The 25,006-nt window shown below is 48.0% G+C and overlaps 1 protein-coding gene across 8 annotated transcripts in view, besides 2 other annotated features; it reads right to left on the bottom strand.

Annotated features, from left to right (window-relative positions):
* SAG (S-antigen visual arrestin) overlaps positions 1-14,010 on the bottom strand; it is a 39,240-nt gene extending 25,230 nt beyond the window's left edge. For 4 of the 8 annotated variants that reach the window (XR_001738882.2, XM_017004641.2, XM_017004642.2 and 1 more), the window contains exons 1-4: positions 12,562-12,664; positions 5,691-5,751; positions 3,031-3,075; positions 1,003-1,196 (exon numbers count right to left, since the gene is read on the bottom strand). Coding sequence is in view for 6 of the 8 variants with exons in the window: in XM_017004641.2 (XP_016860130.1) it covers positions 1,003-1,196; positions 3,031-3,075; positions 5,691-5,751; positions 12,562-12,636 (375 nt within the window). In the remaining 2 variants the exon portion in view is untranslated. Of the gene's footprint in view, positions 1-858; positions 935-1,002; positions 1,197-1,802; positions 2,289-3,030; positions 3,076-5,690; positions 5,752-12,561; positions 12,665-13,803 lie in introns of those variants that run through there. The other 4 variants (NM_000541.5, XM_011511596.2, XM_011511593.4 and 1 more) reach the window with 4 other exon arrangements.
* Positions 677-1,643: an enhancer, noted in NCBI's record as "H3K4me1 hESC enhancer chr2:234228829-234229795 (GRCh37/hg19 assembly coordinates)". NCBI's record gives its function as "activates a minimal SCP1, AML or CMV promoter by ChIP-STARR-seq in naive and primed H9 embryonic stem cells {active_cell/tissue: H9 hESC(naive and primed)}" and the evidence as "EXISTENCE:reporter gene assay evidence [ECO:0000049][PMID:30033119]".
* Positions 1,644-2,611: an enhancer, noted in NCBI's record as "H3K4me1 hESC enhancer chr2:234227861-234228828 (GRCh37/hg19 assembly coordinates)". NCBI's record gives its function as "activates a minimal SCP1, AML or CMV promoter by ChIP-STARR-seq in naive H9 embryonic stem cells {active_cell/tissue: H9 hESC(naive)}" and the evidence as "EXISTENCE:reporter gene assay evidence [ECO:0000049][PMID:30033119]".

The raw sequence follows: 25,006 nt of genomic DNA, 5'->3' as shown, positions 1-25,006 counted from the left end.
GACCTTATAACTTTTTTGTAAATGTGATTTTGTAAAACAGTTGTGATAAACATAGAATAACATCAAATTTACCATTTAAGCTCTTTTAACTGTACGGTTCATTGGCATGAAGTACATTCACACCATTCTGCAGTAATCACCACTATCTATCACCAGAACATTTTTCATCTTCCCAATCTGAAGCTCTGTTCCCATTAAACCCCAACTCCCCATCCTCCAACCCCCCAGCCTGTGGGAAGCTCTATTCTGTCTCTGTCTGTATGAATCTGATTACTCCAGGTATCTCCTGTAAGTGAAACCATAGAGTATTTGTCTTTTTGTGTCTGGGTCCTTTCATTTAGTATAATGTATTCAGGATTCATCCATGGTGTAGCACAGAACAGAATTTCATTCCTTTTTAAGGCTGAACCATGTAACTTTGGAAGTGTATATTCTCTTAAGACAAATAAACATGCTCGTAAAGCAGATGGTAGCTTCCCCCAATTGAGCTCACGCCCAAGACTTCAGAGAGTTTGCACGCTGGCACCGTTGGTAGCCAGGTCTCAATGGATGACAGACGGGCCCCCAGAGAGATGAAAATATCTCCTGTGATCCCCCAAGCTGTGGGCAAGGAAAAAGATGACATCTTACTTCGCTAAGCTCTCCTGTCCTGTAGGGAACCCTTTCCTACTTAGAACTCCCCAGGGCCGAGGGGCATTTCTGTGAGCTTTCTTTTTCGAGCTTAGCAAGCAAAGGAATAACACGTGCTCATGTAATTAGGGGGTCGGGTCAAGGGAAATATGTAAACGGTAGGTTGAAAGGGTGTCTTCAAAGGCTAAGAGGCTATTTTCAAGGACTTAAAAAAAGACAATCACAGACCATGCAATCTAGAATTTCTTTCAAGGGTGCAATTTCCAGGCCTGCAGATGTGAAGTTCTTCCTCTATCCCCTTTCCTTTGCCCCCATCCACATGATAAGGTGCTGCGGGTGAAGGAAGCAGGGCTGGCCGGAGGAGTCACCCACCGTCAGGAGAAAGGGGTACGTGTTGCTCCCCAGCTTTTTAAGCAGGCTCTCTTGCAGTTTTGTGGGGGTGCTCGCGGCCCCCACAGGAGGATACACCTGGACCCGGGAGAAGTACAGGTCCCTGCGGAAGGTCAAGCCGATCACGTCAATGTCCTCTTGGCCATAGCGGAAGGCGCAGGTCAGAGTGACATACACTGCAAGGGAGATGAAGGCAGGGTCGGACTTGGCCCTCGGCCTGGCACCCACCACCACTGACGGAATGGGCAGCGAACACGGGTTTTCAACCTTTAGCATCTGGAGGGGATAGGGGCTGGGATTGGAGAGAACCCTGCCACCCAGCTACTCCACACCACTCTGGAGAATCAGCCCCTTCATGAGGGTTCACCGCTCTAAAGGGAGATCCTGGCATCTTCCTCCCAATTGTATCATGTTGCCAGAATGGTAGAAATCTGAAGACAGAGGACCCAGTCCCCTCCATCCTGCCCGCCCCCTTCATTCCCTAGCTCTGTGGCCTCAGAGGCTTTGAGACAGTGCTGGCTGCTCAGGTTCTAGAGGGCAGGATGTCTGGACGAATGAAGGAAGAAGGTAAGATGCAGAGGGAAACAGCGCTGGGCAGCAAAGCAGATGTGGGCCAGGGTCAATCGTGGGCTGAGTGAGGAGCCTGAAGGCTCACAGGCCACATGGGGAGGTGAAATCCAACTTGAGAAGGCTCAAGTTCCAGCCTCCTTTTCACGCTGCTCTGAAACATACTGAGCATTCTCTAAACCCCCACTTCTGAAAATTCTACTTGTTGAACAGACCTGAAGTGTGCGCCCAGTAGACCAGAAGAATTGTATGAAGTTCACTACACCTTCTAAAAAAGACACGAAGCACATATTTCTCAAATATAAAGCACGAGAGGCGGCCCCGCCAAGTGCGTGGTAGCTGTTGGTTGAGAATTTTGCCTGCAAGCCCCAAAGGTAACTGCCCTTCGCTGCTGACTCAGAAGAAACAGTGGCCACTCACTCGCCCCTCATTCAAGCTCAGGACTAAGAAGGTGCCCAGAGACCACGTGGTTTGACAGCTGTCCTGTGCAGTGGCTTTCCCTGAGAACAGGCGCCCTTCTCTGGTCAAGGACTTGGGCTTTCGGGGCTCAAACCAGATGCCTCCTGGTCCAGAGAGGAGCAGGGCACCCAGGAGGAAGGTGGAGAGGACAGAGGGGGCCGTTTGGGGCCCCATTTCAGCCATGCCCCCTCAATGCTGATGGCCCCATAGCTGACGTATTCCAGTGGCACATCCAGGGTTCTGAACAATTCCTTGATGTTGCCAGTAGCAACACTCAAAAAGGCATATTTAGAATGGAACTGAGTCAGTGACATTATCACAAGGATAGCTGGAATCTGTTCTAATTTGGTTTATGCAACTGTTATTAGTAACAAATTACTTACCACACACATCAAAACTGCCAGAAATCTTCAAGGGCGCCGTGACACTGGTTCAGAACCATCGAAGTAAGCACCATAATAAATTCTGGGTCTTACTCCCCCTGCCCCCAGCAGGCATCATTTCCCCCTTTTTGGTGTTGGTTGAGAATTTTGCCTGTCAGCCCCAACGGTAACTGCCCCTCGCCACTGACTCAGAAGAAACACTGCCCACTCACTCGCCCCTCATTCATTCAAGGTCTTGTGTCCTCCTGAGTCCTAGGCACCCCAGGCACCCTCCTGAGTTTGCCCCTAGCACAGAAGTACATGAAACAGGGGCGAGCAAACAGGAATGGGGGCCACAGACCTGGGCTCCGTCTACCATCTACTTATCTGCCACCCTGGACAATGACTTTGCTGAGCGAGTGAGCTCTGGTGTCAACAGGACCTATGTCACGTGAATTAGGTACAGGAGTGTGGGTCAGTGGGCCTGGCACTGGTTCCATGTGCAAGAGCGCTGCCTCTGCCTTCCTGTCTCTCCTTCCATGTAAATGCCCCTTCCCAGAGCCGCCCAGAGAGCAGTCCACTCCGCCCAGAAACCAGCCTGAGACAAGGGGCTTCATCTCACCTTTCTTTCCCTTCACAAGATCAGGATCAACCAACACGACACCATCTAAGGCAAAAGAGGGAGAGAGCAGTGAGGGTGGAGAAGATGAAAGAAACCAGACACCTACTTTAAAAACTGCGCATGTTTTTAATTACACATGTAATCCATGTTCATTATAAGAAAGAAAGAAAAGTCAGGCAAAGGGAAAAAAGTCATCCAAATTCCTACTGCCTGAAAATACCTATTGTGAAGATCTTGGTGCAGATTTTTATTTTATTTTTCCAGGTCAGGTGTGGTGGCCCATGCCTGTAATCCCAGTACTTTGGGAGGCCAAGGCAGGAGGACTGCTCGAGCCTAGGAGTTCGAGAGCAGCCTGAGCAACATAGTGAGATCCTTGTCTCTACAAAAAGTTTTTAAAAAAAATTAGCCAGCAGCCTGGGTAACAAAATGAGAGCCTGTCTCTATAAAAAAACAAAAAAAAAAAATTAGCTGGGTGTGGTGGTACATGCCTGTAGTCCCAACTACTCAGGAGGCTGAGGCAGGAGGATCCCTTGAGCCCGGGAAGTCAAGGCTGCAGTGAGCCATGATCATGCCACTGCACTCCAGCCTGGGTAATAGAGCCAGACCTTTTCTCAAAACATACAAAAAAGAAAAAAGAAAAAAAGTTAGCAGGGCATGGGCCAGGTGCGGTGGTGCATGCCTGTGGTCCCAGCTATGTGAGAGGCTGAGGTAGGGGGAATTCCTAAACCTGGGAGGTTGAGGCTGCAGTGAGCTGTGACTGTGCCACTGCACTCCAGCCTGGGTGATAGAGACACTGTCCCACACCCCCGACAAAAAAAATTTTTTTCCAGACATATATAACTTAATTATACGAATGCTTTTACTAAGTAAAGAAAAAGATCCTATTGTACATACTGTTCAGCTAACTGCTTTCCTCACTCAATTATACATTGCAAACATCTATTCATACTCACATACATACATCTATACACACACGTATATATATACACACACACACATATAGAGAAAACGTGCTAATCATTTTAATAGCTATGTATTACTCCATTGAATGGATGTACCATAAATTATTTAATCACTTCCTATTGTTAGGGCATCTAGGTTGTTTCCAATTTTTCCCATTGTAATTAATATTGTGATGAACATCCTTATACATATGTCTTTATATCTCTCCATGACTTTTTAAAAATAAATTATAGAATTGGATTTGGCTTTTGATAACATGCTGCCAAATAACCTTCCAGAAAGTGTTTTGCCAAGGCACATTTGCATATCCAGTGTCTGAAACTGCCAGTTTTTCTACACTCTTTAAAAGACGTTTTGTGTTGAAATGATTATAGATTCACAGGAAGTTGCAAAGATAGTACAGAGACGTCCCTAGTATCCTTCATCCAGTTTCTCCCAATGGTTCCATCTGCCATAATTACAGTACAATATCAAAACTAGGAAGCTGACGTGGGACATTCTGAGAAACATTTTGGTTCTTTCCGGTTTGGAGCTACCACAAATAAAGCTGCTGTGAACAATCATGTATAGGTTTTTGTGAGGACACAAGTTTTCATTTCTCTGAGATAAGTGCCCGGGATGCAACTGTTGGGTCATATGGTAAGTATGTGTTTCATGTTTTAAGAAGCTGCTGCTGGGTGCAGTGGCTCACGCCTGTAATCTCAGCACTTTGGGAGGCTAAGGCAGGCAGATCACTTGAGCTCAGGAGTTCAAGACCAGCCTGGGTAACATGGCAAAACTCCATCTCTGCAAAAAATACAAAAATTAGCCAGGCGTGGTGGCACATGCCTGTAGTCTCAGCTACTTGGGAGGCTGAGGTCGGAGGATCGCTTGGGCCCAGGAGGTGGAGGTTGCAGTGAGCCAAGATCTCGCCACTACATTGAAAGTAATGGCAAAAAACTGCAATTACTTTTGCACCAACCTAAAATATTTTAGCCATTTTGGTAGGTGTATAATATGCTCTCACTGTAGCTTTAATCTGTATTTCCCTAGTGGCTAATGATACCAAAGATGTTTTCATGTGCTTGCTTGTCTTCATGTATCTTCTTTGATGAAATGTATCTTCCTGTCTTTCCCCCATTTTCTCATAGGATCTTGCTTTTTGTACTGCTGAGTTCTGAGCGTTCTTCATACATTCCAGACATGAGTCCTTTGTCTCTTCACACTCTTTAAAATTCTTTCCAGCCGGACACAGTGGCTCATGCCTGTAATCCCAGCACTTTGGGAGGCCGAGGCGGGCGGATCACCTGAGGTCAGGAGTTTGAGACCAGCCTGGCCAACATGGTGAAACCCCATCTCTACTAAAAATACAAAATTAGCTGGGCGTGGTGATGCATTCCTGTAATCCCAGCTATTTGGGAGGCTGAGGCAGAAGAATCACTTGAACCCAGGAGGCAGAGGTTGCAGTGAGCCAAGATCATGCCACTGCACTCCAGCCCGGCCAACAAGAATGAAACTCCATCTCAAAAAAATAAAAATAAAAATAAAAATAAAAATAAATAAAATTGTTTCCAATCAGCCAGTGGCGCCTCACTGATGTTTTAATTTGCATGTCTTTATTTAGATTATTAGCAAGGCCAGTTTTTAAAAACACAAAGTGAGCGGTTATCTGTGACTTAAAGGAAAACCAGCATTACAGTTTTCTCCAAGCAACTTACCCACAGGCTGGACTTGGCTGACATGGTCTATGTAGTCTCTGTTCCCCAGGTAGATGGTCACCTGCAAGAAGAACAGGTGTGGGTCTAAGGGCCAAAGAATGCTAAGCTAAGGCATCCATGATAAAAACCAGCAGCAGCCCGGGCGCGGTGGCTCACACCTGTAATCTTAGCACTTTGGGAGGCCAAGGCGGGCGGATCACGAGGTCAGGAGTTTGAGCCTGGCCAATATGGTGAAACCCTGTCTCTACTAAAAAAAAATATAAAAATTAGCTGGGCGTGGTGGCACGCGCCTGTAGTCCCAGCTACTCAAGAGGCTGAGGCAGGAGAATCAGTTAAACCTGGGAGGCGGAGGTTGCAGTGAGCCAAGAGCACGCCACTGCACTCCAGCCTGGGCAACAGAGTGAGACTCCGTCTCAAAAAAAAAAAAAAGAAAGAAAGAAAATTATGTAAATGAGACTTTTGCCATCCATTTGCATGTTAAATCTTTTATTTCCAGCTGTGGAATGAAAGGTAGCCCCTCTTTGTCACAAGAACTTCTGGACAGGCTGGGTGTGGTGGCTCACCCCTGTAATCCCAGCACTTTGGGAGGCTGAGGCGGGCGGATCACCTGAGGTCGGGAGTTTGAGACCAGCCTGGCCAACATGACGAAACCCTGTCTCTACTAAAAACACAAAAATTAGCTGGGCATGATGGTATACGCCTGTAATTCCAGCTACTCGAGAGATTGAGGCAGGAGAGTTGCTTGAGCCTAGGAGGTGGAGGTTGCAGTGAGCAGAGATCGTTCCACTGCACTCCAGCCTGGGTGACAGAGCAAGACTCTGTCTCAAAAAAAAAAAAAAAAAAAAAAAAAAAAAGAACTTCTGGACAACGCAAAGAGGTGTGAGTTCTGGAGAAGCCCCTGAAATCCCACCAGGTGAACTACTGCACAGGTAGACCTAAAGCCACGCACTGAGGGAGCTGGGTGGGAAGGGGATGGCCATCATCTGGGCCCACAGGCCCTGGCCCTGTCCTGCCCCTGGCAACGAAGGTCTCTACCCACTTATGGGAGAGCAGGGTTGGGTTTCCCAGCCCTCAGCACTTTAATCCATAGGACTGTGGCTTGGTGGTAGTAATCTGGAGTCTCTGCACATCTTTAAGCATCTACTGCAGAGTCTAGGACACACAGGGATTCAGTGTTTGCCAAGTGCACCAATGAATGAGAGTACACTCTTTCATTGAGTGTGGCCCCCTTGGCTGGCCCCCTTCTTCGAATGAATATTTTGAATTCCAGGAACGGCCTAAATCATTTTTGTTGGCATTAAGTCCTCTCCTATACGCTCCCCTTTCACCCATATCAGATGTCCCGAAGCGTAGCCCTGTGCCCTCTAGGTTACTCGCATGAATGATGCTGAAGTGACTTCCAGCAAATACCACTAGAACCCTGGTTTACAGAGAAGATTCCGTAGGAAACCTTATACTCCCAGCGCTAAGCATGTTTGGGAGGCCTCACTAGCCTGGGTGGTGTGGAAGCCTGGCACCTGTGAGCAGCGGGCTGACCGGGACACACACTGCTACCTGCTGGTTGCTGCAGCGAGTCCCAGCTTCCTAAACACTGTGGGTGTCTTGGCCTTGCCCTCAAGATCCACCCTGCGGGGCTGACCAGGGCGTGTTGCCCTAGTAGATTCCCTGGTCTTCTGGCTTCTGGGCAAGGTGGGCCAGATGTTTGTCCCCACCTTGCCTGCATGGTGGCTGGGCCTGCGGCTGGCACAGCCCTCTAGTGGGGATCACAGTTCCTGGGAGGTAGCCCTGAGGGCCTCGGGGTTCTGAGAATTGTGCGATCCCTCATCCCTTAACCCCAGGGAGGTGCCAGCACCCAGCTGCTCGTCACTGCCGTGTGGCGCATGGAGCTCTTTCTTGTAATTTTTTTTTTTTTTTGAGACAAGGTCTCATTCTGTCGCCCAGGCTGGAGTGCAGTGGCACTATCTCAGCTCACTGCAACCCCTGCTTCCCAGGATCAAGTGATCCTCTCACCTCAGCCTCCCAGGTAGCTGGGACTACAGATGCACGCCACCATGCCCAGCTAATTTTTTATATTTTTTTGTAGAGACAGGGTCTCGCCATGTTGCCCAGGCTGGTCTCAAACTCCTGGGCTCAAGCAATCCACCCACCTCGGCCTTCCAGAGTGCTGGGATTACAGGCATGAGCCACCACTGTACCTGGCTATTTCTTGTGATTTCTTTCACACCTGCCTACACCCTAGCAAACAGCCCCTTTTAAAAACTCTCCTCTGGCCAGGTACAGTGGCTCATGCCTGTAATCCCAACACTGAGAGACCAAGGTGGGAAGGATCACCTGAAGTCAGGAGTTCAAGCCAGGGCAACAAAGTGATACCCCCTCCTCTGTCCCCTGCCATCTCTCAAAAAAAAAAAAAAAAAAAAAAAGATTAGCCCGGGCAAGGTGGTGCCTGCTTGTAGTCTCAACTACTTGGGAAGCTGAGGAAGGAGGATCACTTGAGCCTAGGAGGTTGAGGCTGCAGTGAGCTACGATCGTACCATTGTACTCCAACCCTGCTCTCCCACAAAGGGGGTAAAGAGATCTTCACTGGTCTCCAGAGTAAGACCCTGTCTCAAAAAAAAAAAAATTCTCCCCAAATCAACCAATTTGGAGGCTGCCTTGCAGGAATGGTAACTATGACCTCGCTATTCTGCTGCTCAGTGTCTACTGGCTGCTCACTCCTTCTCTGTGGAATAAACCCCAGCGCCTTGTGCGTGGCCACCCTGAGAGCATCCTCTCTAACAGCTCCACTCTTCCCTGGGCTCTGGCCACAGCGGCTCTGCCACAGCTCCCCCAAACACCACAGATTTGTGCCTCTGTTCCTATTGTTTCCACGGTAAGGAAGGCCCTTCTGCTGCACTTTCACCTGGGGGAAATCCTACCCACGCTTCAGGGGACACCTCACGGTCCCCATCTCTCCCTTTGCCCAGCACCCCCTGGCTTTTGGTGCCCCGGGAGCATGTGGCCTGCGACCACACCTCAGTGTGCAGCACACTGTGTTCTGGGTGCTCTTGCAGGAGCCTGTCTCCTTTGCTAGACTTCGCCTGTCAATTAGGCAAATACTGCTTTCATCTATCCCACACACGGTTACAGAGGCCCCAGCAGCTGCTGGCTACTGAAAATAAAAACCGAAGAAGACATCCCCTTGGTCCCCAAGGTCCCTGCTCTTTGGTTGGGAGCCCAGCAAGTGAACTGGCAATTGTGCCCCTGGAATAAATGCCAGGGCAAAGGCTGGTGGGGAGGAAGCCTGAGGGGAGGGCACTGAGGAGGGAAGGAGAGAGGGAAGGCTCTTGCTTTCAGAGGAGGCTCTACCTGGTGGACAAATGGCATAGCCAGAGGACAGGGGACGGTTGAGGGCATGCTCTCTGAGCAAAATGTATACGAAGCCCGGGGCCCCGAGAATGCTTCTGGAACTGCCAATGGCTTCACCATGCCACTGAATGGGGATGCAGGCTGCTGCTGCTGAAATGGTCTCATAGGACGTGGCCCTAAAGAACCTCAGAAGACGTTGAAGCGTTTTAAGCAGGATGAAAGACTTGAATTAAACAGTATTTAGGAAAGCTAAATAGAGAAATAGCTTTTGGAAGAATTAAATAGCATTTCGAGTGCTTATCATGTATCAGGGGCCAAGCTAAGCACTTTGACCACATGGTTTCACTTAATCCTCACAGCAACTCAATGAGACAGGAATGCAGCCCATTTTATAGAAGGGAGCACTGAGATTTAGCTCATGCCAGCAGCAAACTGGAGAATGGATCGGCAAGGGGAGAACCAGTTAGGCAGCCTGACTGTGGAGCTGATGAGGGGGACTGCAGAGTGGACGGGAGAGACAAGGGCAGGTGAAGAGAGGGCATGTTTCTTCTCTTTCAAAAGGTTTGGCTGCAAGGGAAGAAGAACTAGAAAGGATATAGGGTCGAGGGTAGTTGGTGGTTGTTCTTAAGGTGCATGAGGTCGGTACTTATTTGTTTATTTATTTGAGACAGAGTTTCGCTCTTGTTGCCCAGGCTGGAGTGCAATGGCGCGATCTCGGCTCACTGCAAACTCCACCTCCCAGGTTCAAGCGATTCTCCTGCCTCAGCCTCCCGAGTAGCTGGGATTACAGGCATGCACCACCACGCCCGGCTAATTTTTGTATTTTTAGTAGAGACAGGGTTTCTCCATGTTGGCCAGGCTGGTCTCGAACTCCTGACCTCAGGTGATCCACCTGCCTTGGCCTCCCAAAGTGCTGGGATTACAGGCATAAACCACCGCGCCTGGCTGGTACTTATTTTTATGCTCAGACAAAGTACTAGCAGAGAGGAGAGGCTGCACACACAGCCAGACCAATGACTGAGGCCCCTGAGAAGGTGGCCAACCATGAAACCCAGGGTGTAAGAGGTGGTGAACCTCAGATGGGAGCAAACTACCCCTTCCACTGCAACAGGAAGGACAGGGGCAGGATGGGGGCAGGTAGAGAAGTGGGTGATGTGAGACTGTAGCCAGCCTTCGGGGGCCCATCCAACAGCCACACACCCCTTCTTCCTGGATAAAAGCCGCCAACTATTGTTCAGGGACCACCATCTTCCACCAGGCGGTATGCTCAGAGGAGGCCGGCTCCAGGGTACGATTCTTGATTGGCCTGATTCACTACGATCATCTAATTCTTCTGGCTTGGGATTGGTTTACAGTGGACATGTGACCCAGTTTTGGCCAATGAGATATGAGAGAAGAGTCTTGGGAAAGATTTCCTGACCCTTACAAGAGACCCCAGGAAACCACAGCCTCTTCCTTCTGGATGTTGTCAAGTGTGGGTGAGACGCCAGGAGCAGGGGCAGTCATTTAGCCACCTGCTGGAGGATGAAGGTCAAAGAAGAGGGCAGCGTCGGGAGAATCACAGAGAAATGGGCTCAGAGCCCTGGCACACCATGCCTGGGGCCACACAGACATCGCTGGCAAAATGATCTGAATACATGAGACAGGAATTGAATTCTCTTTTCCCACCTGTGAGGACTTATCTACAAAAACCATCTACATTTCTTGGTGGAAAATCTAGGAGCAAGGGGAAAACAACGTGGGAAACCAACACGAGTGGTTTCCTCTTCAGCCAGAAGTTGAGATAAAATGGACTGGAAAGATACAACTTGGGAAAGGGCTTGGAGAACGAAAGAATCAGAGTACTTGATTAAAATGACCGAGTTCCTTAACTAGGAGAGGAGAAGGCAGAAAGCACACAGGCAAAGCCGGATCTCCTGGGTGGCACGGTAAGGATGGGGAGGTTCTTTGGACCCCATACCGGGTTCAGAAGTCAGCCACAATGGGCCAGGTGCGGTGGCTCACACCTGTAATCTCAGCACTTGGGGAGGCCAAGATGGGCGGATCACCTGAGGTCAGGAGTTCGAGACCAGCTTGGCCAACATGGTGAAACCCTGTCTCTACTAAAAATACAAAAATTAGCTGGGCGCGGTGGCACATGCCTGTAGTCCCAGCTACTAGGGAGGCCGAGGCAGAATTGCTTGAACCTGGGAGGCAGAGGTTGCAGTGAGCTGAGATCACGCCACTGCACTCCAGCCTCGGTGACAGAGTGAGACTCTGTCTCAAAAAAAAAAAAAAAAAAAAAGCCAGAATGATGGCGAGCTACCCTGTCCAGTAGGGTAGCCACTGCTTAAGGTGGCTCCCGGACACCTGAAATATGGCCATTCCAAATTGACATGTTCTGTAAACATAAAATACACATCAGATTTCAATAATTCTTATATTATTATTTACAAGTTGAACTGATAGTTTTTTGGATATAGTGGGCTGAAATAAAATATAACATCAAAATGAATTTCACCTGTTTCTTCTTACTTTTTAAATGTGGCTACTAGAAAATTTAAAATTACATATGTGGCTTGCACTAGATGTTGCTGAGCTAGATTTTTGGCCCACAAGAAGCTTTCGAGTGGAGCTATCCACAGAGGCTGGACGGTGGACCCTCTCCCATGCGAGGAAGTTCATGGGCACACCTGGAGCATCTAACGTGCCCCTGGAGAGTGGTGGAAAGGGGGCAGACTGGGGCATTTTCCCTTATCCAATGGCCCTGCGGGCCCAGCTGAGGCTTGAGACCCCCCGGGTGGGGTAGGTGCACGGAGAAGAAGGAGTCACATTGATCACTGTCTGGGTTTTACCCAGGCAGGTGACACAATAGATAGACAAAAGGCCAAGGGCATCACAGGTACTGACAAAACTGTGTTTAAATAGTAAGTCAAGGGTTCAAGGCTGGCTAGGAAAAGATGCAGAGGTGGGGGTGACAGTGTGGGGATTGAGGGATTCGGAGAAAACTGAGGGACACAGGACTAAAGTCTTGATGAGACTGAAGAGAAGCTCTATTTCTGCAGTTCATTCACTCATTTATAGCTCAGTGATCATCCATCTTAGACAGAGACAAAAATAGACACAAAGCTTCCCTGGCCCTCACAGTGTTTGTTTGTTTTTTATTTGAGACAGAGTCTCCCTCTGCTACCCAGGCTAGAGTGCAGTGGCACCATCTGGGCTCACTGCAACCTGTACCTCCTGGGTTCAAGTGATTCTTGTGCCTCAGCCTCCCAAGTCTGGGATTACAGGTGCCTGCCACCATACCCAGCTAATTTTTGTATTTTTAGTAGAGATGGGTTTTGCCATGTTGGCCAGGCTGGTCTCGAACTCCTGGCCTCAAGTTATCCCGCCTCCGCCTCCCAAAGTGCTGGGATTACAGGCATGAGCCACCGCGCCCTGGCCCTCAAAGAGTTTTGATGTTGATCATGACTACACTGTACTTGAAAAAGCTCCATTTTTTTTAAACAATAATTTCTATCAAATCACTCACTTGTGCACCACTCACCGATTTGTCCCGGGAGATCTTCTTGAAGATAACATGGTTCGGTTCGGACTTGCTGGTCTTCCCGCTGGCTGCCATGTTATCTGTCCCTGGCAACTTCTACCACCTTGGGGTGTTGGTCAGGTGTTAGAGGGTTGGAGAAAGGTAAGACAATCCTAAATATCAAGTCAAGAACATCCTAGTTATGAAACCTACTCACGAGATCCTGTGCGTCCTCACCATGCCCTTGTACCGGCTTCAACATCCGAGTTTCATCGGTGAGTCTTTGCTTAGTTTGTATTTTACTGCAGCATGCTTTGGGGTGTTTTCAATATTTTATTTTTCTTGGTAAGCTTCAAACATTTCTCAGTACACCTTGCCAGGGAGTCTAGCTAGATTCCAATGAGGTTTTACTTTCTGACTAACCTTTGGTGTTATCACACTTAGCCAGGTTGAATTTAAAGTTCTATCGTGACTGTGTCTAATGGCGAATAAATCAGAAAAGTTCCTGAAAACCACAACATAACCACTTCGCAAAGACTGTTTTCAAGAAGATATTAATGGCCGGGCACTGTGGCTCACACCTGTCATCTCAACATTCTGGGAGGCTGAAGCGAGAGGATCATTTGAAACCAGGAGTTGGAGACTGGCCTGGGCAACATAGCAAGATCCTATCACTTTTTTTAAAAAAAAAGAATATATTAAAATCCCAAAAGTTCTATTTGGCAATTCCTACTAAGAGATAGCCACTCTGTTTTACAATTAAGAGGCCATCTTAGCGGTCTAGAATTAAGCATACTCTGAGGTTTTTTTTTTTTTTAAGATATAGGAGCTCGTTCTGTTGCCCAGGCTGGAGGGCAGTGCCACAATCATAGCTCACCGCAGCCTCGAACTCCTGGGCTCGTGATCCTCCTGCCTCAGCCAGCTGAGTAGCCAGGACTACAGGTGTGTGACACCATGCCTAGCTAATTTATTTTTATTTTTGTTTTTTTGTAGAGACTGGGTCTGACTGTATTGCTCAAGTTGGTCTCGAATTCCTGGCTTCAAGTGATCCTCCAGCCTCAGCCTCCTGAGTCACTGGGACTATAGGCATGAGCCATTGCACCCGCTCACTCCAAGTCTCCTTAAATAGCAACCAAGTCTTATGGAAACCACACAGAAAAGGTGAAGGCGGGACATACTGTCTGCAGGAAAACGCCCATCCTTGCTCTTCCCCACACCTGCCCCAGGTTTCTGATAAGGTTTTGGCCTGTGGTGGTCACATACCTTGTGATTTGTCACCAACCAGGTGGGAAGGGCCGGGTGGCAAGGAGAGGGTCTCTATGCTCTGAGATGATGAATAGCCAGCCCCTGTTCTGAGCAAGCTGGTACCGTCTTGCCAGATGAGCCTGAAGGGGCACCGCTGAGGCTCCTGGCCTACGTATGTGGGGAATTTGTAGGGGATCTAGCGAGGATGCCCAGCATCCAGGTCTCAATGTCTAAAAGCCAAATCCCACTTAAGGAGCAGAGTTGGATTAGTGCTGAGACAGTGAACTGGTAGTTTCAGCAGTTCTAAGCATTAAGCAACACCCCCCGCCCCGGTCTCCATACGGAGGGTCTCACAGATGTATGAGTCACCCAGCTGACTTGGGGAAGGTTGGTGGGAGGGCCAACAGCTAAATGAAAGCTACTTTTTCTTCTAAACCTCTTTGGATTCTGGAAATAGACTGATTATCTCTTCATTCCCGGGCATTGCCAGGACAGGAAGAGATTTGATTAAACTCAGCAGGCAGCTAATGCGACCTTGCGGGTGGGGACTAAACAAAAAGGTCAAGGAGAAATGTCAACCTCAAGATGAACCTGGTGTTATGCAAGCCAAGCTGGATCTGTCCCTCTCCTCCACCCGGTCCTACTGATTGATGGCTTCAGGAGTCCTGTTGATCCCCTCAGTGTCTCTGGAACCTGTCTGCATCCTCCCATCCCCAGCACCGCCTTTGCTTCTCAGGACCGGAGTGATTCCCCACTGTCTGACTACATCTATTTCTTTTCTTTTTTTTGTTTTGTTTTTTGTTTTGAGATGGAGTCTTGCTCTGTCTCCCAGGCTGAAGTGCAGTGGTGCAGTCTCAGCTTGCTGAAACTTCTGCCTCCCAGGCTGAAGTGCAGTGGTGCAGTCTCAGCTTGCTGAAACTTCTGCCTCCCAGGTTCAAGTGATTCTCTTGCCTCAGCCTCCAGAGTAGCTGGGACTACAGGCGCCTACCACCACACTGAGCTAATTTTGTATTTTTAGTAGAGACAGGGTTTTACTATGTTGGCCAGGCTGGTCTCGAACTCCTGACCTCAGGTGATCCACCTGCCTCGGCCTCCCAAAGTGCTGGGATTCCAGGAATGAGTCACCGCACCCAGCCGACCACATTTATTTCTACCCTCCAAGCCCTTTTCCACACAGAGGCAGAGAGACCTTCTGAGCCCTGTCATCCCTCGCTTACAATCACCCATTGCTCTTAGAATGCAGGCAAAAAGCTTGCAGCCTCTGGAACCTCTGCCTGCCTTTCCTTCCACGCCGTCTGCCACGCTTCCTCCTTCCCACTATTATTTCTGCCTGGAACAAGCCTCTCCTCTCTCCACTTTGTTGACTCTTCTTGGCCTTTCAGATTTTTGACCAGGAGTCACTTCCTCAGGGGAGCTATCCCCAACCTCCAGGACCAGATTGGAGGCACGCTTGCATTTCACTCTTTTTTTTTTTTGCTTTCGAGATAGAGTCTCACTCTGTTGCCTGGGCTGGAGTGCAGTGGCGCGATCTCGGCTCACTGCAGCCTCCACCTCCTGGGTGCAAGCGATTCTCCTGTCTCAGCCTCCCGAGTAGCTGGGATTACAGTTGTGCACCAGCATGCCCAGCTAATTTTTGTATTTTTAATAGAGATGGGGTTTCGTCATGTTGGCCAGGTTGGTGTCAAACTCCTGGCCTCCTGAAGTGCTGGGATTATAGGCATGAGCTACCGTGCCTGGCCACATTTCACTCTTGCTTGGGAATTATTCTACAGTCTCTCTTCCCTCACTGGAGTCCAGGCTCCATGAGGGCAGGGCCTAGGCCATTTTGTTTCCTTCACTTTTGTCTTCACAGTGCCCAGAACAATGCCTGCTCCCAAGAACACTCAGGGAATGGATGGAGGGGACTCTGCGACCACTAACACACTTACATGGGGGACTGACTTGGGAATGAAACAAGTATATGCAGAAAGCCTGTTCTGACGTTTGGGGTATCAGCATCCACCCAAACATTCCAATGGCTTCCCATTTAAGTCTGGACAATGCTTGCCAGGTCCGGCATGCTCTGGCCCCCCTTTACCTCTGACTTTATTTCTCACCACCCTCTCCCTTGCCCACTTCACTCCAGAGTACTGAGCCTGTTTTCTTTTCTTTTAGAGACAGGGTCTCGCTCTGTCACCCAGGCTGGAGTGCAGTGGTGCAATCATAGCTCACTGCAGCTTTGAACTCCTGGGCTCAAGCGCTCCTCCCACTTAAGCCTCCCGAGTAGCTAGGACTACAGGCACATGCCACCACACCCAGCTAATTCTTTAACCTTTTTGTAGAGATGGGGTCTTGCTATGTTGCTCAGGCTGGTCTCGAACTCCCAACCTCAACTGATCCTCTCACCTCAACCTTCTAAAGTGTTGGGGTTACAGACGTGAGCCACCACCACTGGCCTGCTTTTCTTTAAACCTCCGTCTAGGCCTTTCCACTTGCTATTTCCTCTCCTGGAACAGTCTTCCCACAGCCAGCCACATGGCTCACTCCTTCAATGGCTTTGAGTCTTTACTTCAATGTCACCCTATCCTTAGCATACTCTATGGTTGGCCTCACCATACCTGAACTGCAAACCCCCTATTTTAAAACACAAAGATTATTCATTGGTGCTAAAACCATTAGGTGAAGAGTTGCTGGGAAAATGACTGTAGGAGTGAAGTGATGCCACACGGATCATGGTGTCATCACAAGGTGCACGGCAGATGCCATGGTCAATCTTAGCATTGCTGGTGGTGTCAGCCACATGGGATGTGTCCCCTTGGGTTAACTTGAATCCATGAGCCTTCAGACATCATTTCTAGTTTATCGGAAATACAAGGAACGAGCTACGTGACGCAAGTGAGCAGCCAGACAAATCCAACAAACAATGCCATAGAAATGGGTAGGCCAGGTGCAGTGGCTCACGCCTGTAATCCCAGCACTTTGGGAGGCCGAAGCGGACGGATCACAAGGTCAGGAGTTCGAGACCAGCCTGGCCAACATAGTGAAACTCCGTCTCTACTAAAAATACAAAAATTAGCCAGGCGTGGTGGTGGGCGCCTGTAGTTCCAGCTACTCGGGAGGCTGAGGCAGAAGAACTGCTTGAACCCGGGAGGGGAGGTTGCAGTGAGTCAAGATCGTGCCACTGCACTCCAGCCTGGGTGACAGAGCGAGACTCTGTCTCAAAAAAAAAAAAAAAAGAAAAAAGACATGGGGTTTACTAGATTAAAAGACGCTAAGACACTCGAGACCCAGATGTCATGTGCAGCCCCAGACTGAATACACAACTGGTCAAAAAGGATGTGTAGGACATTTTGGGTTCATTGGGAAAATCTGACTATGGTAAAATGCCTGGAGTAGAAAGGTGAGAGATTGTGACAGAACCAACAAGACTGCAGAATGGTGTGCTTAGCATGTCCACGTTTTGCAAACACACAGAGACTATGTATTTGTGTATACATACATATATGTACATTTACACACACATGCATATACACACAAGCATATTTACACACATACATGCAGGTTCATATGCATGCTATACCTATGCATACTTTGCAAGAATACACCTTAAGCTAACATTGGTAGTTAAAGGTCTCTCATTACCTTGTAATGAAATGGTAGGCTTTGTTTCAATTTTCTTGTCTATAATTTTTCACATTTTCTCCTATGACCATTTACTGCTCCTATAATAGAAAGGTTAAAATACAAAACTGTGTTATATAAGTGAGGTGTGGTGGCTCACGCCTGTAATCCCAGCACTCTGGAAGGCTGAGGCTGGAGGACGGCTTGAGCCTGGGAGGTTGAGGCTGGAGTGAGCCATGATCACACCACTGTATTCCAGCCTGGGCAACAGAGCGAGTCCTTGTCTCAAAAACAAACAACAAAAAAACAAACAAACAAAAAACAATAAATAGGGCCAGGCACAGTGGCACACACCTGTAATCTGAGCACTCTGAGAGGCAGAGGCAGGTGGATCACTTGAGCACAGGAGTTTGAGAACAGCCTGGGCAACATAGTGAGACCCTATCTCTATAAAAAGTAAACAAAATTAGCCAGGCCTGGTGGTGTGTGCCTGTGGTCCCAGCTACTTGGCTTATGCCAGAGGATTGTTTGGGCCTGGGATGTTGAGGTTATAGTGAACCGTGAGCATGTCACTGTATTCCAGCGTGGGCAAAAAAAAAATTGCTGTGGCCGGGCACGGTGGCTTACACCTGTAATCCCAGCACTCTGGGAGGCCGAGGTGGGCGGATCACCTGAAGGTCAGGAGCTTGAGGCCAGGCCAACATGGTGAAACCCTGTCTCTACTAAAAATACAAAAAAAAAAAAAAAAAAAAGCTGGGCATGGTGATGTGTGTAATCCCAGCTACTTGGAAGGTTGAGGCAGAAGAATCACTTGAACCCAGGAGATGGAGGTTGAAGTGAGCCAAGATTGTGCCACTGCACTCCAGCCTAGGCAACAGAACCAGACTCCAACTCAAAAAAAAAAAAACAAAGGGGAAAAAATGACTAGGGTGCTTCTTTCAGTGTCCCCATCAGAGGGCTGCCCTGAGCTGAGGCTGCAGGACCCAGGCCCAGTTTGCAGCTGTGAGTGCTTCCAGATTCCCCCATTCTCCTGCTGCTTCATCGTTCCCGGCTGCTGGAAGGCACAGATCTGCAGATCTTAGTCACTGCTCTGCCAATGCCGTGCAGGTGGGGAAATTTGGGTGGACTGGATGACAGATCTCACTCTTTTTGGAAATGTTATTCCCAACTCTTGGTCTGTGATGATTTTTTCTCTTCTTGGTGGAGAAATGAGAAAAATAAGGACACTCTTGTAGTTTTTCTGGGAGCCAAACTTATTCAATATAAAGGACTGTCCTTTTGAGATTATGAGCTTTTTAATTTTTTGGTATTAAAATATCCTTCTTCAGCCAGGCATGGTGGCTCACGCCTGTAATCCCAGCACTTTGGGAGGCCGAGGCGGGCAGATCACTTGAGGTAAGTAGTTCGAGAGCAGCCTGGCCAACATGGTGAAACCCCTTCTCTACGAAAAATACAAAAATCAGCTGGGTGTGGTGGTAGGCGCCTATAATCCCAGCTACTTGGGAGGCTGAGGCAAAGAATCACTTGAACCTGGGAGGTGGAGGTTGCGGTGAGCCGAGACTGCATTCCAGCCTGGGTAACAGAGTTATACTCTATCTCAAAAAAAAAAAAAAAAAAAAAGGCATTGTTCTTCTTCTTGCCCTCTATCTTTATTGAGATATATATATATGAAACGGGTGAATTTTGAAATAGTGACAGACATAGATGAGTGCAGGCAGATACATATAGAGAGGTAAAATATATCTATTTAATAACCAACAAAATTCACCCATTTTGAGTGTACAGCTTGATGAGTTTTGGTCATCATATACATTGTGTAACCATCACTGTGATCAATTCCACCACTCCCCAAAGTTCCCTGTACCCATTTCCATCAACTCCTCCATTCACGCTCCTGCCCCAGGCAATCACAGATCTGCCTTCTGTCATTAGCTCTGCATTTTCTACAATTTTATTATGAAATTTTAAAGCACAGAAAAGTTAGAAGAACAATACAATAGACACCCACACAGTCAACTTCAAGACTTGACACTTAACACTTTGCTGCCTGCAATCCTCTGTGTCTATCTCTGTTTTTTTCCTTTTTAACTATTTGAACGTACATGCAGACATCACGACATTTTACCCGTATTTCAAAATGCAGCTCCTAAGCATAAGGAGAAAAATGTCCTTTCTTTTTATGAAATAATAACCAAGAGTATATGGTAGTTTAGAAAAAAGTCCTTACTTGGCAAACATTAAAAGCTGGCAATCTTCCCCTAGATTTATTTTTGCGAATTACTGGTCTATGAATTCTCAAAGTCTGGGAACCAGTGGCTATAGCATGCTTGTTTCTCTGGGGTTGGCTTCCAGTGAGACAATGCTATGAACCCTGTGTTTCATCTCCAAACACTAAACACAGCAGCCGGCTTGCGGGGCAGGGGAGGTGGGGGCGGGGTGGAGACATCCAGCTAAGAGGCTTATGGGCTTTGGGGTGGGGTTGTCGTCTTAAGGGTTTACTGGGGCACATGCACGAGGAAAATGGGTACACTCTGCTAAACATCAGCTACAAAATGAAAATCTTGTGTCCTCATTGCCTTGATTTTACTGAAGCAGAGAACACCTGGGAGGTTTGAGGTATCTATAAAGAGTGCCAGGGAATCGGAGCTTTTAAAAGTCACCTTATTTCCAACATGTATCTCCTAGACTTAGTCAATCAGTTTAAACAATAGAGGGCTGTTTTGGGTTGGGCTGGCTAATAATATCTGAAATCATAAACGCAATCCTGTGGGTGCACAAGGTAATGAGAGACCTTTAAAAAAAATCACTTTGTTCCCATTCCATCCCTTACTTTGATCTCCTCTGTTAACATCCCCAATAAGTTACTGAATGCTTCCAAGGATGGGGAAATCACTACTTTGTTGTATATCCATCTTTTTTTCAAATAGCATAAAGAGTGACAAAACTATTATTTACTAATTATTAGTATTTACTATTATTAGTATTTACTAGTATTATTTACTATTAGAATTAGTAAATTATGATTTACTAATACCAAATTATTAGTATAAAGAGTGAAAAATTATGTTAGGATGGAATTGGCTTCCCTTCTGCTTCTCTCCATTGCTCGAAGTTAATCTCTCTTCCACACGTGAATCCTTCCATGATTAGCCTTGTAGGCACTGAAACCCTCTCACCACCCTGGAGGTCCCACCCCAGACAGATTTCCAATGTCTGTCTGGAGGCATCGTGCTAAAAATGGTACTTAATGTTGCAGGTTCCCATGTAATAGGAGCATGATGTACAAACAGCCCCAGATGGAGTCCTGGGTTCTTGGCCTACTGCTGAATCCATTGTGACCTTGAGGGAGTAGCCTGGCCTATTTCCTTTATCCGTCTGTCTGAGGGGACCCCCCAGCCTGCCTTGTCTTGCAAGGTGGAAAGATTTATGGAATGTGCAGATGGCCTTCAGAAGGTCAAGTCTTGTGCAGGAGGATCCTGATCAAGATTTTCTCGTCCTCTCCAGCGGTGAGGCTGATGTCTATCTTGTGTGCTTCTTCACCCTCTGGTCATGCCACCTGGGCCCCAACACTAAAGGGGGTTCTGATGACGATGAGGTTGCTTCTACAGAAGAGTTGAGAGCCAACCACAAACCGAGGGCTTACCCTGGGATCCCTGGATGGGCTTCGGGATCTGTGAACCTAAGTTGCATGCAGAATTATGTACATATGCCTTTTTCTGGGGAGAGGGCTTGCAAGTTTTCTTCAGACAGATCCACTGCTACTGATCAGAAAAGTCTGAAAAGCACTGATCCTCTTTCTTGTTGGAATTAGAAGGGGTGGTTGCACAACACTGTGGATTTATTAAATGCCGCTGAATTGTTTACTTTAAAATGGTTTATGTTATGTGAATCTCAAATTTTTTTTTTCTTTTGAGACACGGTCTTGCTCTGTTGCCCAGGTTGGAGTGCAGTGGCATCATCACGGCTCACTGCAGCCTTGACCTTTGGGGCTCAGGTGATCCTCCTGCCTCAGCCTCTTGAGTAGCTGGGATTACAGGGATGTGCCACCACACCCGGCTAATTTTTGCATTTTTAGTAGAGACAGGGTTTCATGATGTTGCCCAGGCATGTCTCGAACTCCTGGTCTCAAGTGATCCGCCCACCTCAGCCTCCCAAAGTGTTGGGATTACAGGCGAGAGCCACCACGCCTGGCCTACTATTACATTTTTAAACGATTTTCTCTTCCTTTCAGCTAGTTATATCTTGGGACAATCTTGGGGCTGTTTTGGTTTGTTTTCCACTAATTCTACTACTATAGACCCACCATGTGCTAAGCACTCTATCGGATGTAAAGCATATGATGGCCCTGAGATCTCTTTAGTCTCTTATGACCATCCGGGTGTACTTCTGGGGGCAACAGGACTTATGGCTTCCTAACTAGAAGCCAGGCTGTTTACAGTTGATCCTCTTACTGCCTGGCTCACAAGCATGCCTACCTATCCTCTCCTCACTAGTTCTCTGACAAAAATGAAGCCCAAAGTCAGAATTTGCCTGCCGTCATCTTCCTGTGCCTGGGGTCAGAGCAATCCACAGTGGGGGCTGGGCCCACAGTCATGTGCAAGACTAATGTCCCCACTTGAGACGTAAGTGTATGCTTACAGAGAAGTCAACCACATCCAGTGTAGGGCATTCAAAAAAAGGTCCGCAAGAATTACTGTTCTAGAATAAATACTCAGGTGATGGGGGAACAGCATGTAGACCCTGCTGCAGCCAGCCGCCGAGATGGCCGCCCCGTTCCCCTTGCTGTGCTCTCACTGCAGTGGCGCTGCCTGTGCCATCCACGTTAGACGATGGAACGTTAAAAAGGTGACCCAACGCCGGGCACAGTGGCTCACGCCTGTAACCCCAGCACTTTGGGAGGCTGAGGCGGGCGAATCATGAGGTCAGGAGATCGAGACCATCCTGGCTAACACGGTGAAACCCCGTCTCTACTAAAAATACAAAAAAATTAGCCGGGTGTGGTGGCGGGCGCCTGTAGTTCCTGCTGCTCGGGAGGCTGAGGCAGGAGAATGGCGTGAACCCAGGAGGCAGAACTTGCAGTGAGCCAAGATCGTGCCACTGCACTCCAGCCTGGGCAACAGAGCAAGACTCTATCTCAAAAAAAAAAAGTGACCCAAGCAGAGTGACAAGGGCTTGCTTACACACAGATGCTTGCTTGCTTGCTTGCTGTGCCAGCAGTCCCCCCAGCAGACATGTGAACAAAGCCACCTCCACCATCCGTTCCCACTAGGCCAGGCCAGCTGCCTCACAGAATCTTAGTAAATAATCAGTCTTAAGCCATGAAGTTTGAGGTAGTGTGTTACGCAGCAAAAGCTAACTGGATTTTGTTTCAAACCCATCATAAGAAACAGTGCTGCAACAATTAGGAACATTGGACTGGAGGGTGCGTGATACTGTCACTGTTAATTCCAGTAGGTTAATCACAGCCAGGTACCTTTGCCGGTTTGGGTTGGGATGCATGGTAATTTATGGGTAAGACAACATGCTTGAAATTTGCGTTAAAATACCCTGGGGGGAAGCATCAAAGAGGGCTGACTGAGACTGACAGGGCTGTTAAGTGGTGGGAACACTGGACTCATTAGAGACAATACTGTCTACTCTCTTGGGTTCTGCATTTGTCCTGGTTTGGATGTTCTCACTGTGCTCGCCAATTGCAGGTTAGAATATGAAGGCAACATGGTGCCGGGGAAGCTTCACTAAGGAGCGGGGAAGGTTAAGAGGACAGGAACAGTTGGAGCATGCACAGAGAGGGAGGATCTGGAACAAACAGGCCAGGAAGGGTTGAGACCTGTTAGGAAAGCCAGAGTTCCTGGAGGCCAGAGAAGTCAAATTTTGCTTAAGTGAGGCAGCTAAGAATCATTTTGTGATTAGTCCTATCTTTCACTGGCAGGCATCACATACCTCATGCACTTTTACAGAATCTATGCAGATACAGGCATACCTCATTTTACTCAAGATTGCCAAAGGTTGTTTTTTTTTTTTTTTTTTTTTTTTGAGACAGAGTGTTGCTCTGTCGCCCAGGCTGGACTGCAATGGCGCGATCTCGGCTCACTGCAACCTCCACCTCCCAGGTTCAAGTGATTCTCCTGCCTCAACCTCCTGACTAGCTGGGACTACAGGCACACACCATGCCCAGCTAATTGTTTGTATTTTTAGTAGAGATGGGGTTACACCGTGTTAGCCAGGATGGTCTCAATCTCCTGACCTCGTGATCCGCCTGCCTCAGCCTCCCAAAGTGCCGGGATTTCCAAAGTTTTTTAGATGAAAAATAGGAATTTCTAACGTAAGCAGGACTTATTAAAGCAGGACACGAGAGAAAAAGCCATGCGGAGGAGTACAGCCCATTCACTTTTGAAGGCACACCTTAGTGTCACGCCTGTCCCTGTGGGCCTGGTGTGGCAGGCAGTGCTGAAGCAGATGGGCCCAGGACTCTAGGACGAGGATAACTTCTTGCTGAGCTGTTAAACATTTCCCCATTTGCGAAATGGGGTACAATCCAGATTACAGAATTTGAGAGCCACAGACTTATTTTATTACTACCCAAGCCATCTTATAAAAACAAAAATGCTTGTGGTTTCTGTATCAAAGTAACCAGACTTGGTACAAGACAGTATTATCACTGTCATTCTTGTCTCCTGGTGCTGGAAACAGGTATGAGTGGAAAGTCCACATTTTACAACATCTACTCAGGCCAGGTGCAGCGGCTCATGCCTATGATCCCAGCACTTTGAGAAGGCAGGTGGGTGGATTGAGTCCAGAGTTCGAGACAACCCTGGCCAATATGGCAAAACCCCATCTCTACTAAAAATACAAAGAAATGTGCCAAGCGTGGTGGCACGTGGCTGCAGTCCCAGCTACTCGGGAGGCTGAGGCGGGAGGATCACCTGAGCCCAGGTCAAAGTGGCAGTGAACTGAGATTCTGTCACTGCACTCGACTTGGGCAACCGGAATGAGACCCTGCCTCAAAAAAAAAAAAAAAAAAAAAGAAAAAGAAAAAGGTCTAATCAATTAAAATTGCTGTTCTGCTACAGACACTCAGGTAGTTCTGCAGGATTTGGTACACTCAGCAACCTGGGACTTCCCAGCCAACTTGCTCCTGGAGCCTAAGAGCACCTTCTTCATCCATTCACCCGTGTCCACACAAAACGTCCTGTGCCATGCTGTGAAAGCAGGTGGGGCTTTGGGACATCTATAAGAGGCAGCATATGAACAGTATGTGCTTGAACAATAAGGCTTTGGGCAACATGGTGAAACCGTCTCTACAAAATATAAAAAATTAGCTGGGTGTGGTGGCACGAACCTATTGTCCCAGCTACTCGGGAGACAGAGGTGGGGGGATCACTTGTGCCTGGGAGGCGAAAGCTGCAGTGAGCCAAGATTGCGCCACTCCACTCCAGCCTGGGTGACAGAGACCTTGTCTCAAAAAATAAAAATAAATAAAAAAAATAGGGCCAAACAAAAGTGGCTCCACTCCTGTACTCCTGGCACTTTGAGAGGCTGAGGCAGGAGGACTGCTTTTGGCACTGCCGTTGGAGACCAGCCTGTAACATATTGAGACCCCATCTCTATTAAAAATAAAATT

The sequence above is a fragment of the Homo sapiens genome, chromosome 2 (assembly GCF_000001405.40).
Source record: "Homo sapiens chromosome 2, GRCh38.p14 Primary Assembly".
Classification (NCBI taxonomy): Eukaryota; Metazoa; Chordata; class Mammalia; order Primates; family Hominidae; genus Homo; species Homo sapiens.
The sequence above is the reverse complement of the archived record's forward strand: the minus strand, read 5'-3'. Positions and strand labels throughout refer to the sequence as shown.